The 17,606-nt window shown below is 40.1% G+C and overlaps 1 long non-coding RNA gene across 3 annotated transcripts in view; it reads left to right on the plus strand.

The window, feature by feature from the left end:
- Window positions 1–6,124: 6,124 nt before the first annotated feature.
- The window catches only part of LOC105374557 (uncharacterized), a 485,690-nt gene continuing 474,208 nt past the window's right edge, over window positions 6,125–17,606 (plus strand). For all 3 annotated transcript variants that reach the window (NR_188396.1, NR_188397.1, NR_188398.1), the window contains exon 1: window positions 6,125–6,331. This is a non-coding gene — a long non-coding RNA (uncharacterized LOC105374557). The remainder of the gene's footprint in view (window positions 6,332–17,606) is intronic.

Below are 17,606 nucleotides of genomic sequence, written 5' to 3' on the forward strand. Positions count from 1 at the left end.
CAATTTTCAAATCAAATAATTTGATATAAACACAATAATATTAAATAGCATTGAAAAAAATTTACCCTAAATGTAATGGAGAAAATATTTGAAGAAATAATGAAGATAAAATTACCATAAATAAGGGTGAAAGAGCTAACATTGAAAGGGCACATGATATGCCAAAGAGATCAGTAAAGACTTAGATCTAGCTATAAGTGATGTTTAAATATATACGAAAGAAGGGTAAAATAATTTTTAAATAAAAATTTCCCAGGCATACAAAATATCATTTGAAAAAGAAAAAAAAAAAACAACAGATCTTCATCAGGGTTTTTCTTTTAACCACACTATGAGATATAAGAAGATCATTGGGTGGCATTTGTTAAGTATTAAAGAAATGGTACTTAGAATTTAGAATCTTCCTTTGTTGAGACGGAGTTTCACTCTTATTGCCTAAGCTGGAGTGCAATAGCGTGATCTCAGCTCACTGCAACCCCGCCTACTGGGTTCTAGTGATTCTCCTGCCTCAGTCTCCCTAGTAGCTGGGATTACAGGCGCGTGCCACCACGCCTGGCTAACTTTTTTGTGTTTTTAGTAGAGATTGGGTTTCACCATATTGGCTAGGCTGGTCTCGAACTCCTGACCTCAGGTGATGCACCAGCCTCGGAATCCCAAACTACTGGGATTATAGGCATGAGCCACCGTGCCTGGCCCTAGAATCTTCTGTTTAGCCATAAAATCAAATCCAATAGTATTTTGGGAGAGGGGGTGATGTCAACCAGGCTGAAGTGCAGTGGTGAGATCATGGCTCACAGCAGCCTCAGGGTTCAAGCAATCCTCCTACCTTAGCCCCTGGAGTAACTAGGAATACAGGTACAGCCACCATGCTCAGCTGATATTAAATTTTTTTTGTAGAGACAGGGTCTCACTATGTTGCCTAGGCTGTTTTCAAACTTCTGGAGATCCTCCTGCCTTGGCCTCTCAAAGTTGTGGGATTACAGGCATGAGCCAGGAGGCTGGCTCAATAATATTTAAAAGGGTAAAGAATCTGTTAAGATAGCAGAGTAGGAAGCACCAGTAAACTATTTCCCTACTAGAGAACAATCTCACTGGTGGTATCTAACCAATGTAACTATTTTGCAGCCCTAGAGTGTGCTGAATGCTTGCAAAAGAAGACTTGGATCACAAATGATGATTTAAGTTTGGTCATTTCAACCCTGAGCAGAGCAGTGAGAAGTGACAGCGTGCTGGCAAGCCCTCGCAGCCCTTTCTTGCTCTGGGCACCTCCTCTGCCTGGGCTCCCACTTTGGCGGCACTTGAGGAGCCCTTCAGCCCACTGCTGCACTGTGGGAGCCCCTTTCTGGGCGGCCAAGGTCAGAGCCAGCTCCCTCAGTTTCCAAGGAAGTGTGGAGGGAGAGGCGCGAGCGGGAACCGGGGCTGCGCGCGGAGCTTGCCGGCCAGCTGGAGTTCCCGGTGGGAATGGGCTTGGTGGGCGCCGCACTGGGAGTGGCTGGCCGGCCCTGCTGGCCCCAGGCAATGAGGGGCTTAGCACCTGGGCCAGCGGCTGTGGAGGGTGTGCTGGGTCCCCCAGTGGTGCCGGCCCACAGGCACTGCGCTCGATTTCTCACCGGGCCTTAGCTGTCTCCCTGCGGTGCAGGGCTTGGGACCTGCAGCCTGCCATGCCTGAGCTTACCCCACTCCATGGGCTCCTGTGCGGCCGGAGCCTCCCCGACGAGCACCGCCCCCTGCTCCACGGCGCTCAGTCCCATCGACCACCCAAAGGCTGAGGAGCACAGGCACAAGGCGGAACTGGCAGGCAGCTCCACCTGCAGCCCAGGTGTGGGATCCACTGGGTGAAGCCAGCGGGGCTCCTGAGTCTGGTGGGGACTTGGAGCACCTTTATGTCTAGCTAGGGGATTGTAAATGCACCAATCAGCACTCTGTATCTAGCTCAAGGTTTGTAAACACACCAATCAGCACCCTGTGTCTAGCTCAGGGTTTGTGAACACACCAATGGACACTCTGTATCTAGCTACTCTGGTGGGGACTTGGAGAACCTTTGTGTCCCCACTCTGTATCTAGCTAATCTGGTGGGGACGTGAAGAACCTTTGTGTCTAGCTCAGGGATTGTAAAGGCACCAGTCAGCACCCTGTCAAAACAGACCACTTTGCTCTCTGTAAAATGAACCAATCAGCAGGATGTGGGTGGGGCCAGATAAGAGAATAAAAGCAGGCTGCCCAAGCCAGCAGTGGCAACCCCCTGGGGTCCCCTTCCACACTGTGGAAGCTTTGTTCTTTTGCTCTTTGCAATAAATCTTGCTGCTGCTCACTCTTTGGGTCCACACTGCCTTTATGAGCTGTAACACTCACCGTGAACATCTGCAGCTTCACTCCTGAAGCCATCGAGACCACGAACCCACCGAGAGAAACGAACAACTCCAGATGCGCTGCCCTAAGAGCTGTAACACTCACCGCGAAGGTCTGCAGCTTCACTCCTGAGCCAGCGAGACCAGGAACCCACCACAAGGAAGAAACTCTGAACATATCTGAACGTCAGAAGGAACAAACTCCGGACACGCTGCCTTTAAGAAGTGTAACACTCACCGCGAGGGTCCGCGGCTTCATTCATGAAGTCAGTGAGACCAAGAACCCACCAATTCCGGACACAGTATCAGCTACATACCTTCTCCCATCTCAGCCTTGAGGCAGGCAACTGTAAATGTATTCCTGGAGCAGCTTGCACGTAACTCCTGGGAGCATGGGTGGACCAAATAGACTCTCCCTTCTCAATACGAGGGGTCATTACTGATTGCTGCTTCTGATGAGAGAGGTACAGACAAAGAGGCAAAAGCCATTGTTGCACCTCCCCTATTATTACAAGCCTGTCCCCCTCTAGCTGAAGTGACTTCCAGGGAATTTAAAGGGCTGGTGCTTCTTTATTGTCCTGTTTCGTTTTTCTCTTTTTCCTCTTTCAAGGGCCAGGCATTGAAGATTATGACATTTAAAAAGTATCACATAGGGCCATGTGCAGTGGTTCATGCCTGTTATCCCGGCACTTTGGAAGGCCAAGGCGGGCAGATCACCTGAGGTCAGGAGTTCGAGACCAGCCTGGCCAACATGGTGAAACCCTGACTCTACTAACAATACAAAAAGCAGACGTGGTGGCGTGGCGGAGGTTGCAGTGAGCCGAGATTGCGCCACTGCACTCCAGCCTGGGCGACAGAGCAAGACTCCATCTTAAAAAAAAAAAAAAAGTATCACATATATATATTTGTCCAGTTTAAGTCATCTTGGTCTCCAGGAGATGGAGGCTGCAGTGAGCAGAGATCGTGCCACTGCACTCCAGCCTGGCTGACAGAGTGAGACTCTGTCTCAAAAAAAACAAAGAAAAAAAAAAGAAAAAAAAATGAGAGACATTATAAAGTCACCTGGCATGCCTAGGGGAAGGAAGAAGCTCGGAAAAGACATGAGAACATCTTATGCTTTATCTCAGACTGATCCTCAGTACAGAGACAGCCTACAACAATCAAAAATGAAAAACAAAAACAAAAATACAACAAACCCTAGGAAAAAAAGGAAAACCTGATTTCCAGAGTTACCATATGCAACGGGCTGCAAGTTTATGTCCCCCCAAAATTTGTATGTTACAATTATACACTTGAAAGTGATGGTATTAGGAGGTGGAATATGTGGGAGGTGATTGGATTATAAGGGGGGAGCCCTCATGAATGAGATTAGTGGCCTTAAGAGGCCCCACACAGCTCATTCATCTCTTCAATGATGTCAGAACACAGTGAAGAAGTGCCATCTATGAACCAAAAACCAAGCCCTCATCAGATCTTCTAGCATCTTGATCTTAGGCTTCCTAGCATCTAAAACTATGAAAGATTGTGATGGTTAATATTATGTGTCAACTTGATTGTTGTGAGAGATGCTTACATGGCTGATGAAATATTGGTTTTGAGTATGTTTGTGAGGGTACTGCCAGAGGATACTGACATTTGAGTCAGTGGACTGAGGAAGACCCACCCTCACTGTGGGTGGGCACCATCAAATCGGGGTACTAGTGCAGCTAAAACAAAGCATGCAGAAGAAGGGCATATAAGCAGCAGAGTCTCCTCCCTCCCTCTCTCTCTTCCCATGCCAGACACTTGCTTTCTCTCCTCCTGCTCTTGGATATCAGACTCCAGAATTTTGGCCTTTGGACTCTGAGGCTTGCACCAGTGGCTTTCCAGGGACTTTCGGGCCTTAGGCCTCAGACTGAGGGCTGCACTGTTGGCTTCCATGTGTTTTTTTTTTTTTTTTTTTTTTTTTTTGAGACAGAGTCCCGCTCTGTTGGTCAGGCTGGAGTACAGTGGCATGATCTCCGCTCACTGCAACCTCCGTCTCCCAGGCTCAAGCAAATCTCCTGCCTCAGCCTCCCGAGTTGCTGGGATTACAAGTGTGTGCCACCACGCCAGGCTAATTTTTGTATTTCTATTTTTTATTTTATTTATTTACTTATTATTTATTTATTTTTTTGAGACAGGGTCTTGCTCTGTCGCCCAGGCTGGAGTGCAGTGGCACGATCTTGGCTCGCTGCAAGCTCCGCCTCCCGGGTTCATGCCATTCTGCTGCCTCAGCCTCCCAAGTAGCTGGGACTACAGGCGCCTGCCACCACGCCTGGCTAATTTTTTGTATTTTTAGTAGAGATGGGGTTTCACCCTGTTAACCAGGATGGTCTCGGTCTCCTGACCTCATGATCCACCTGCCTCAGCCTCCCAAAGTGCTGGGACTACAGGTGTGAAACACCGTGCCTGCCCTAATTTTTGTATTTTTAGTAGAGATGAGGTTTCACCATGTTGGCCAGGTTGGTCTCGAACTCCTGACCTCAGGTAATCTACCCACCTCGGCCTCCCAAAGTGCTAGGATTACGGACTTGTTTCTTCATCTTTCAGCTATTTACTGTTACTTCTACCAAAACTTCTTTATCTGTATTTTCTGAGTCTACTAAAAGGGTAGTTACATTGTGTCTGGAATTGGTGGGTTCTTGGTCTCACTGACTTCAAGAATGAAGCCTCAGACCCTCGCGGTGACTTACAGTTCTAAAAGATGGTGTGTCCGGAGTGTGTTCCTTCTGATGTTTGGACGTGTTCGGAGTTTCTTCCTTCTGGTGGGTTCGTGGTCTCGCTGGCTTCAGGAGTGAAGCTGCAGACCTTCGCCGTCAGTGTTACAGCTCTTAAGGTAGTGTGTCTGGAGTTGTTTGTTCCTCCCGGTGCGTTCGTGGTCTCGCTGGTTTCAGAAGTGAAGCTGCAGACCTTCGCGGTGAGTGTTACAGCTCATAAAGGAAGTGTGGACCCAAAGAGTGAGCAGCAGTAAGATTTATTGCAAAGAGCAAAAGAACAAAGCTTCCACAAGCTGGAAGGGGGCCAAAGCGTTTGCCACTGCTGGCTTGGCAGCCTGCTTTTATTCCCTTATCTGGCCCTACCCACATCCTGCTGATTGTTCCATTTTACAGAGAGCTGATTGGTCTGTCTTACAGAGAGCTGATTGGCCGTTTTGACAGGGTGCTGATTGGTGCATTTACATTCCCTGAGCTAGACACAGGGTGCTGATTGGTGTGTTTACAAACATTGAGCTAGACACAGAGTGTTGATTAGTGCATATACAATCCTCCAGCTAGACATAAAAGTTCTCCAAGTCCCCAGTCCACTCAGGAGCCCAGCTGACTTCACCTAGTGGATCCCGCACCCGGACCACAGGTGGAGCTGCCGCCAGTCCCGCGCCCTGCGACCGCACTCCTCAGCCCTTGGGCGATTGATGCTACTGGGCGCCCTGGAGCTGGGGGCGGCGCCCGTCGGAGAGGTTAGGGCGGCGCAGGAGCCCACGGTGCTGGGGAGGCTGAGGCATGGCGGGCTGCAGGTCCCGAGCCCTGCCCCACCGGGAGGCAGCTGAGGCCTGGCGAGAATTCCAGCGCAGCGCCGGCGGGTCGGCACTGCTGGCGGACCTGGCGCACCCTCCGCAGCTGCTGGCCCGGGTGCTAAGCCGCTCACTGCCTGGCGCCGGCGGCTCCGGCCAGCCGCTCTGAGTGCTGGGCCCGCCGAGCCCACGCCCACCCGGAACTCGCGCTGGCCAGCAAGCGCCGCGCGCAGCCCCGGTTCCCACCCGCGCCTCTCCCTCCACACCTCTGTGCAAGCTGAGGGAGCCGGCTCCGGCCTCGGCCAGCCCAGAAAAGGGCTCCCGCAGTGCAGCGGCGGGCTGAAGGGCTGCTGAAGCGCGGCAAGAGTGGGCGCCTAGGCCAAGGAGGCGCGGAGAGCGAGCGAGGCCTGTGAGTGCTGCCAGCACGCCGTCACCTCTCAATATGACTTAGGTATGTAGGGGAAAACAGAAAATTGTGAGGGCAAAAATTGGTTCAATTAAGTTTATTTTCTAGCACTTTCATTCCTTAAGACCTAAGTGGCATTTTTATTAAAAACAAACAAAACGAAACAAACCTATCTCTCTTTCCTTGATACTTCTTCTCTCGTACATACGCTTTACCCCAAGACCTTAGGCAAGTTTGGTGGACAGGCTAGTCCCAGAAATGCTCTCATTCTAAGAAATAAACTAAATTCTGCCTCTGACATTCCATTCCCCCTGTGGTTTTAATTAGGTGCGAATTCTCCTATGCTCACTTTGAAACACGCCTCAGGATCTTAGGGAGATGGCAGGCAGATGGGTATTAATATAGGGTAATATTTCTTACTTCACGGTGCCCATACATTTATTGTCATTAAAATGGTGTCATTCAAATGAGGCAGCTGAAGTTGAAAAAGGAATGCAAAGTTGGTCATTGTTCTGAGGATCTGAGCTTTGGTGAAGAAGCTGAATTAGAGGTAGCACTTCAGCTCTGCTTATGTGAAATGTATAGATGTACTGATCACTCAGTAGTGAAACCCTTGAGGCATTGACAGGAGGACAAAGTCTCTAAGACTATATGAGAGTCATGGGGATGAAAACACCTGCCTCTCCTGCTTTACCAGGCTGTGGGGAGAATGAGGGAAATAATGTGTGTGAAGTGGCCTGTGTACCTAGAAGGAATCATGTAGGTGCTTTGTTAGCGCTGTGTACGATAATCGGTTAATTCCCCAGAACCCTGTAGAGTCCTGGAATCCCTGTAATAAATTTATTTTTTCCATCTCAGGTTTTTGTTTTTCCCTGGTGCCCAGGTTAAAGAGAAATTGATGACTTCCAACTTATGTTTAGCTTCTATTCTTCTGCATTGAGGATTTGAATTCAGAAAACATTTCAGGGTCTGTAGAACTGTACATTGATGTTAGGTTTAAACATTCAACAACCTCACAATATTTAGGTTTTATGAGCTATGGCCAAGTTAACTAAATTTGCTTGATAGGATTTCTGAGAAGAAAAAAATTACATATTTATGATTTGGTAAGACTTTCCTCAAAGTGTCTGTCTCCTTGGAAACGCAAGTGTTACTGACCTAGGGGAACTGTTTTGTACTAGCTCAGCTTGGGAATATCCCCCATATTTCTATTCTCTATTCTTTATGACTTCCTTCCAACTTGAGCTGTGAAAAAGTGAGGGGGACTGGAGCCATTTTGGAGAAGTATTATAAAATAGAATGAGTCAAATATCTAGAGAACAGAGCTTGATTAATTCAAAGCTGTAAGCCCTGGCTCCCCCAGGGCTCCTCCATTGCTATGGAGTCTCATACTCCATAGCAATAAGTTCTCCTTGTCCAGAGGCCTAAGCATCTGTTTCCAAATCTCATACGCTTTCCTGGATAGATTCATCAAGTCAAACCTTAAGTTGCTTGACTTTTTTCTGCACCATCCTCTAATTTAGGTTAAGCTTAATAATTAGAGCCATTAAATAGCAAAACAAACAAATGCAACAATAAGAACAGAACATTATGCTCTGGTCTGTGGAGTTCAATTTAAACTTCAAAAATCTAAAACTTCAAAAAGACTTTTGCTGGAGGGTTACCAGAAACAACGTCATTCAGGATATTGCCACATGCTGCCATTCTCTCACTTTGGTGTTATTTATGGATTGTTTCTAATAAACTTTTAGCTTCCTTTCAGCTTTTCCTGAGTCGAGGTGAAACTTCACCATTATCATTATTGAGAATATGTAAACAATATTTAGATATCTAAATATTACATTTCCATTTACAAAACCAAGCACTGAGACAGAACTTCTCAACCTGCTTTGATTTATATCAAGGGGAACACTGTGTGTGTGTGTGTGTGTGTGTGTGTGTGTTTTCACACAAAAGCTGGTAGTGAGAGGAGCAAGAGTTTTCAGGAAGAAACATGGCTGGAAAAAGTAAAAAAAAAAATTCAATGAATTGAAAGGGTATAAAAAGATTCTAAAATTGAATTTTAGAATGGCTTTCTTTTTTCTCTCACCTCTTCCTCTCTCCTTTCCTTCTCCTCAGTCTCACCAAAAGCACTGTTTAGGTTCTTTGCCCAATTCACAATTGGGTTACTTGTTTCCTTGCTTTTGAGTTGTTTTGAGTTCTTTACATTTTTTAGATATTAGAACTTTATCAGATGTATAGTTTTCCTTTTTTCTTCCTGTTCTTCAGACTCCATAATTTTTATTGTACTATTTTCAACTTTGTTGATTTTTTTCTTCTACCAGTGCAAAATAATTCTAAATAACATGTAAATACTCTGCCCTCAAGGTGGTGGCACATTACTCCCCATTCTTAAAAGTGTGGACTCCCAAAAGTGATTCTTTCCAGACAGTACATTTTGGAAATTAGCAACAAACTACTTCACCCTGGAGAAACTTGACAGACATCAATTGAGCAAGGTCATCACTATCAGCATCAATGGTGTTTAGTTGTGTGGTTACAAGGTGCCCTTGTTAGAATGTGAAGAGAAGGGCAATTTACCTCTGTGATTTTCCTCCCAAAAGCCCACTACCCTAGTCTAATCATGAAAAAAAAAAAAAGAGGCAAATTCCAGTGGACGAATAGTCCACAAAATATCTGACCTATAATCCTCAAAATTGTCACAGTCATCAAAGACAAGAAAAGCCTAAAAACCATCATAGTTAGAGGTCCCTAAGAGACAGGATAACTAGATGTAATGTGGTATCCTATATGGCAATGGTCCCCAACCTTTGTGGCACCAGGGACCAGTTTTGTTAAAGGCATTTTTTTTTTTCCATGAACTAGGGGTAAAGGGATGGTTTCAGGATGAAACTGCTCCACCTCAGATCATCAGGCATAAGATTCTCATAAGGAGTGTGCACAACCTTTGTCCCTCACATGTGCAGTTTATAGTAGGGTTCCTACTCCTATGGGAATCTAATGCTGCTGCTGATCAGACAGGAGGTGCTCAGGCAGTCAGTAATGCTTGCTAACCTGCTGCTCACCTCCTGCTGTGTGGCCGGCTCCTAACAGGCCACAGACTGGTACTGGTCCATGGCCCAGGGCTTGGGGAACCCTGCTATCTTGGATCTTGAAAAAGTCAAAGGACATTAGTAGAAAACTGAGGAATTGTGAATAAAGTGTAGACATCAGTTAATTGTGATGCATAAATATCAATTCATTAGTTGTAACAAATATATCGCACTAATGGAAAAATGTTAATAAGTAAAACTGGTTGTGTGGTATGTGAAAACTCCCTATACTGGTATCACACTAATTCTGTAAATTTAAAACTGCTCTAAAATAAAGTTTTTAAAGAAACAAGGAAAATCCTTGATTCCGTAAAACTAATAGAACTAGTAAACAAATTTAGCAATTTGCAAGATACAAAATCAATATGCAAAAATCAGTTGTTTTTCTATACACTAACAATAAAAAATCAGAGAATAAAATCAAAAAAATTATTTACAGTACCATCAAAAAAATAAAATACTTAGGAATAAACTTAACCAAGAAGGAGAAAGACAGCCAGGTGCGGTGACTCTTGCCTGTGATCCCAACACTTTGGGAGGCTGAGGCGGGTGGATCACACGTGTCAGGAGTTAGAGACCAGCCTGACCAAAATGGAGAAATTCTGTCTCTACTAAAAATACAAAATTAGCTGGGCATGGTGGCGCATGCTTGTAATCCCAGCTACTCGCGAGGCTGAGGCAGGAAAATCTCTTGAACTGGGGAGGTAGAGGTTGCGGTGAGCTGAAATTGCGCCATTGCACTCCAGCCTGGGCAACAAGAGCAAAACTCCATCTCAAAAAAAGAAAAAAAAAAAAAAAGAGACAGACTTCTTTAATTGTAAAAAATTAAAGAAGCCACCAATAATGAAAAGACAGTCTGTTTCCATAGATTGGAAGACTTAATATTGTTAAAATGTAAATTCCACTCAAAGCTACCTACAGATTCAATACAATCCCTATCAAAAATCTAATGACAACAAGCCCCAGATAGTATTACATTCAGTGGTGAGAAGGTGAAAGATTGTTAACTGAAATCAAGAGTAAGACAAGGATGCTCACTCTCATCATTTCTTTTAACATAATACTGGAAGTCCTACCTAGTAAAATTAGGCAAGAAAAAGAAATGAAATATATTCTAATAGAATGGGAGGAAGTTTAATGGCTTCTATTTGTTAATGACATGATTTTAAATTTAAAAACCCTAAAAACGTCACCAAAAAAACCACTGTAATTGTAAAACATAGTATAAAGCCATTGTATAATCAAAACAGCGTGATACTTGCATAAAAATAGACACATTGACCAAAAAAATAGGATAAAGAATGCAGAAATCAATCTATCCACTTACGGCCAATTAGATTCTGCCAAAGATACCATGAAGACAATATGAAGAAAGGATGGTCTCTTTGATAAATGATATAGAAGTTTTTTAGTTTAATTATGTTTCATTTGTCTACTGTTGTTTTTGTTGCTTCCAATTTTAAGGTCTTTGTCCTGAGTTCTTTGCCTAGACCAATGTTTAGAAGAGTTTTGCCTACGGTTTCTTCTAGTATTTTAATAGTTTCAGGTCTTACACTGAAGTCTTTAATCCATCTTGCATTAAATTTTGCATATGGTGAGAGATAGGAATCTAGTTTTATTCTTCTGCTTATGGCTATTTTAGTTTTCCCAGCACCATTACTTAAAAGGGTGACCCTCCCCCAGTGTTTGCTTTTGTCAACTTTTTCAAAGATCAGTTGGTTATGGATATGTGGCATTATTTCTGTGTTCTCTATTCTGTTTCATTGATCTATGTATCTATTTTTATAATAGTAAAAATAGACTTTATGCTATGGTTATTCATAAAAAAATTTAAATGATGTATGTATAAGTCAGCAGTTCCACTTCAGGTATGTAATCAAAAGAATTGAAAGCAAGGTCTTAACAAGATGCAGGCATGAAATGGAGACACTGTGGGCTCAGTTCTAGATCATCACAATAAAGTAAATATTGTAATAAAGTAAGTCATACAATTATTTATTTTGATTTCCCAGTGAATATAAAATTTGTGCTTACACTATACCATAGCTTGTTTAAATGTGTAATAGAATTGTGTCTAAAAATGTACATACCTTCATTAAAAATATAAAATAAATTATATCCAAATTTTTTAAATAAAAATTGAAAATAAATTATGGCTAAAGAATGCTAACAATCATCTGAGCCTTCAGAAAGTTGTGATCTTTTTGCTGGTAGAGGGTTTTACCTTTGCCTTGATGTTGATGTCTGCCGGCTGATCAGGGTGGTGGTTGCTGATGATTGGGATGGCTTTGGGAATTTCTTAAAATAAGGCAATAATGAATTTTGCCACATCTATTCACTCTTTCACAAAATATTTCTCTGTAGCTGTGATTCTATTTGGTAGCACTTAACCTAGAGTAGAGCTTCTTTCAAATTGGAGTCCTGACTTTATCAAAAAAAGTTTATGTAATATTCTAAGTCCTTCACTGTCATTTCAAAAATTCACAGCATCTTCATCAGGAGTAGATTTCATCTCAAGAAACCGCTTTTGTTACTCATCAGAAGAAGCAGCTCCTCATCCATAAAAATTTTATCATGACATTGTAGCAAATCAGTCACATGTCCAGGCTCCATTTCCTGTTCTTTTGATTTTTTTAAATTACATCTGCAGTTACTTCCTCCCCTGAAGTCTTCAATCCCTAAATGTCATCTATGAGGCTTGGAATCAACTTCTTTCAAACTTCTGTTAATATTATTTTGACAACCATCCATGAGTCATGAATGTTCTTAATTGAATCTAGAATGGTAAATTCTTTCCAGACAGTTTTCAATTTATTTTGCCCAGATCCATTACAGGAATCACTCTCTATCATAGCTATAGCCTTACAAAATATATTTTGTAAATGATATAACTTGAAAGTCAAAATTCTTAATCCATGGGCTACAGAATGGATGTTGTGTTAGCAGGCATAAAACTAACATTAATCTCATTGTACATTTCCATTAGAGCCCTTGGGTGACCAGGTTCATTGTCAATGGGAATCAATGAGCAGTAGGTCTCAACAGTGGGCTTAAAATATTCAGTAAACCATGCTGTAAACAGATACATTTTCATCCAAGCTTTGTTTTCTCATTTACACAGCCCACAGAAAGTAGATTTAGTATAATTCTAAAGAGCCCTAGAATTTTGAGAATGGTAAATATGCATTGGCTTCAACTTAAAAAGCACAGGATGCATTAGTCCCTACCAAGAAAATTAGCCTATTCTCTGAAGCTTTGAAACCAGACAATGACTTCTCCACTCAAGCTATTAAAGTCTTAGATGGCACCTTTTTTCTATGTAAGGCACTTTCATCAACATTGAAAATTTGTTGTTTTGTGGGACTTTCATCAATGATCTTAATTAAACCTCTTGGATAACTTCCTGCAACTTCTACTTCAGCACTTTCTGCTTCCGTTTGCACTTTTATGTTATGGAAGTGGCTTCTTTTCTTAAATCTCATGAACCAGTGTCTGCTAGTTTCCAACTTTTCTCCTGCAGTTTCCTCACTTCTCTCAGCCTTCACAGAATTGAAGAGAGTTAAGACTTTGCTCTGGATTAGGCTCTGAATTAAAGGAATGGTCTGGCCTGCTTAATCTTCTATACAGACTACAAAAGCTTTCCCCATATCAGCAATAAGGCTGTTTGCTTTCTTATCATTTGTGTGCTCACTGGAATAGCATTTTAAATTTTCTTCAATAACTTTTCCTTAGCATTCATAACTTGGCTAACTCTTAGCTTCAAGAGGACTACCTTTCAGCCTAACTCAGTTTTTGACATGCCTTCCTCACTAAGCTTATTTCTAGCTACACACACACACACACACGCAATCATATATATATATATATAAACAATCATGGAGTAAAAGTGCAATTTTACTATATTGATATATTGCATGATGGTCAAGTCTTCAGTGTATCCATCACTGGAGCGATGCACATTTTACTCAGCTAACAACCTCCCATCTTCCACTCTCCTCCCGCCCCCAAACCTCTGAGTCTCAATTGTCCCTCATTCCATACTTTCCATGTGTATGCATTATTAAGCATGCATTTATAAGTTAGACATGCCCTATTTGACATTTTGATTCTGAGTCATTTTACTTAAGATAATGGCCTCCAGTTCCATCCATGTTACTGCAAAAGTCATGATTCCATTTTTTAAGGTAGAATATATTCCATTGTCTATATATACCATGGTTTTTAAAATCCATTCATTCATCAATGACCCCCTTAGGTTGATTCCGAATACTTGCTATTGTGAATAGTGCTGCAATAAACATATGAGTGCAAGTATTTTTTAATATAATATGTATTTTTTCTTTTTGGTAGGTACCTAGTAGTGAGCTTTCTGGATCAAAATGGTAGTTCTATTTTTAGTTCTTTGTGAAATCTCAATACACTTTTCCTTACAGGTTGTATTAATTTACATTCACAGCAACAGTGTATAAGTGTCCCTTTCCTCTACATCCTCTCCTACCTCTGTTATTTTTTGACTTTTTAGTAATAGCCATTCTGATTGGTGTAGGTGGTATATCTCATTGATTTTAAATTGCATTTCTCTGATGATTAGTGATGTTGAATATTTTTTCATATGCTTCTTGGCCATTTGATTTATATTGAGAGACTTGAAACTCTTCCTTTCATCTGAACACTTAGAAGGCATTGTAAGGTTATTTATTGGCCTAACTTCAATATTACTGTGCCTCAGAAAATAGGGAGGCTTGAGGAGAGGGAGAGAGACAGGGAATGGTTGGTTGACAGTAATAAAAAAGTTTGAAATATTATAAAAATTACCAAATGTGACACAGTAACAGGAATTAAGCGTGTGCTATTGGAAAAATGAATAGACTTGCTTGGCTCAGGGTTACCATAAAACTTCAGTTTGTAAAAATATAAGCAATATCTTTGAAACAAAATATAACAATGCACAAATAAAATAAGATATGCCTGTATTTGTATACTCATGTTCATAGTAGCATTTTTCACAATAGCCGAAATGTGGAAGTGTTCACTGGCAGATGAAAACATAAACAAAAATGTGATATGTACATACAATTGGATACAATTCAGCCTTAAGAAAAGGAAGGAAATTCTGACATATGCTAAAATATAGATAAAGGTTGATGACACTATGCCAAGTGAAATAAGTCAGTCATATAAAGATAAAGGCTGTATGATTCCACTTATATGTGGTTACTTAAAGTAGTCAAAATCAAAGAGACAGAAAACAGAATGGTGGTTTCTAGGGTTTTGGGGGAGGCAGGTAAGGGAGGAGTTATCATTTAATGGGCATAGAGTTTGGGCTTTGAAAGATGAAAATAATTATGTTAATGGATGGTTATGAGAGTTGTAAAATAATATGAATGTACTTAATGCCATTAAACTATACACTTAAAAGTGAAATAAGGGCTGGGCGTGATGGCTCATGCCTGTAATCCCAACACTTTGGGAGGTCGAGGCTGATAAATCACTTGAGGTCAGGAGTTCGAGACCAGCCTGGCCAACGTGGTGAAACCCCGTCTCTACTAAAAATTCAAAAATTAGCCTGGCATGGTGGTGCACACCTGTAATCCCAGCTACTTTGGGGGTTCAAGGAGAATCCCTTGAACCCAGGAGGCAGAGGTTGTGGTAAGCTGAGATCATGCCACTGAAGTCCAGCCTGGGCAACAAAGCGAGACTCCATCTCAAAAAAAGAAAGAAAAAAAGCAATAAGATAGCACATTTTATGTACATTTTATGTTATGTTTATTTTACCACAATAAAAGCTAAAAAGGAACATTAAATACCATGACTATGTTTATTTCATCTCGTACATACAAAGAAGTTCAATCTATAAATTTAATTATCACATTAACAGAATAAAATAAAATCTCCAGATAGTCATTTAAACAGATGCAAAGTATGTATTTGAAACATTTTATCATAAATTTGTGATAAAAATGCTCAGTATATTAAAAAATAGGAAAGTGTGTTTCTGTATCTAATATATTTTTTAAAAAGCAATATGTATTATTCTAAATGTGTAAATGTAGAGAGATTTTCATTTAAAATAAAAAACACAACACAAGGAAGCACATTTTCACAATTTCAAATAATACATATTTTGGAAGCCCTGGCATGCACAATAATATGATGAAAAGAATTTGATGCAGGGGGATTTAAAATAAAGAAATAAAACTGCCATGTTTGTAAAATATATGACTATTTACTTAGAAAACTATTTAGACACATTATTACATATTATTGTAAAGTTTATCTAGCAAGCAGAACATAAGGATAATATAGAAAGTTCAAATGCATATCTTTATATCAGCAACCACCAACCAAAAATTATTTAAAATAAAATCTCATTTAAAACAACATTAGACAATATAAGTAAATAAACCTAAATTTAACAAAAAGAGTGCTGGACTTTCTAAGAAGTGCAATTAAGATTTATTAAAACATATAACACCTAAATTAATGGAGAAGTTTTTTCCATTTTTGGGTAATATACCATTTAGAGAATGTTAGTTATTTTGAAATGTACCTACAAATCACAAATAAAAATGATGTGGAAACACTAATTTGTTTTATAAGATCAGTGTTTCTCTGATGTAACAACCTCACAAAGACATTGAAAAAAAGATAAATTATAAACTGATATTTCTCATAAATACAGGCACTTTAAATTTAATTCAGTAATATATCTCAGGAATTTAAAGCTAGTTAACATTTCAAGACCAGTTAGAGTATTTAACACATGAGCTGTATGAAGGAGTAAACCATATAATCAACTCAACTCAGTAATCATCCATTCATGACAAAATTTATAAGTTAATTACAATTAGGATGGTATTTCTTCAATCAAGTAAAAAGCAACTATGACAAATTCTACAAATAATGTCATTTTTAATTGTGAAATATTGACTATTTTTTCTCTAGTTTGAGAAAAATGCAGATGCCACCTTTCACAACTTCCATTCAGCATTAAAATGGATTTCCCAGCCAGTGAAAGAGGGCAAGAAAAACAAATAAAAAGCATAAAGATTAGAAAAGAGTAAGTCAAACTGTCTGTATTCTCAAACAAGATTCTGTTGAAGGTATACAAATATTAAGTAATTCACCAAAACAAATCTCTTCTAGTTCTAAAAAGTGAATATTGCAACCTCTGAGGACATGGAGTATCCATTTTAGAGTCAACTATATTTCTACATAGTAGCACCAAAAAAGTATAAAATTAAATAAAAATATCTATTTCCAATAGCATTAAAAAGCCTGAAATACTTAGGAAGAAATTTAACAGCAGTCAAAGCAAGATATCTATTTTGGAAATTATAAAACATTGCTGAGAGTAATTAAAGAAAAACATAAATGAAGAAATGTAGCTATCTAAAAAGACTGAAATTGTGAATGTTTTTTAAATGATAAATATCCAAAATTGATTTATAGAAACAACAAAATCTACCTCATAATCTCAGCAGGCTTTTTGTAGTGAATGACAAGATTATTCTACAATTAAAAATGCAAAATACTTAGATTAATCAAAATAATCTTGAATAAGTACAAATTAATTTGAAGACTCACATTATCAGATTTAACAGCTTACAATGAAGCTACAGGCACCGTGGCAGTGTCATGAAAAGACAAACAAATCAATGGAACAGAAATGATAGTGGAGATGTAAACTAATGCTTGTAAGTTCAGTTGATTTTTAAATGAATGTTCCAGAGCAATTCAATGGGAAATACAAAGATTTTTTAACAAATGGTGCTGGAACAAATGGATATCCATGTAGAAAAAATAATCAACTCTGTTTTATATATAACAACACACACAAGCTTAATTCAAAATAAATCTTGAGCTAAATTTACAAACTGAAATCATAAAGGTTAAAAGAAAAGTGGCTCAAGATTTATCAGAGGGTAAGGAAAATTTTCTTAGGCAGAATAAAACAATTATCATAAAAGAAAATGATAAATTATGTTTTATCAATATTTAAAAAAGTCTGATCATCAAAAGGCACTGCTAAGAAAATTAATAAGTGACTCACAGCCAGGAACATATGCATGATAAAAGACATATCCAGAATGTATTTTTTAAAAATCTCATAACTCAAAGTACAAAGTCCAATAAATAATTGGGCAAATGGCTTGAACAAACACTCTTAAAACAAAAATATACAAATAAAAGCTTAGGAAAAAGTATGTAGCATTAGCCAAGAGGGA

This window comes from Homo sapiens, chromosome 4 (genome assembly GCF_000001405.40).
Source record: "Homo sapiens chromosome 4, GRCh38.p14 Primary Assembly".
Taxonomy (NCBI): domain Eukaryota; kingdom Metazoa; phylum Chordata; class Mammalia; order Primates; family Hominidae; genus Homo; species Homo sapiens.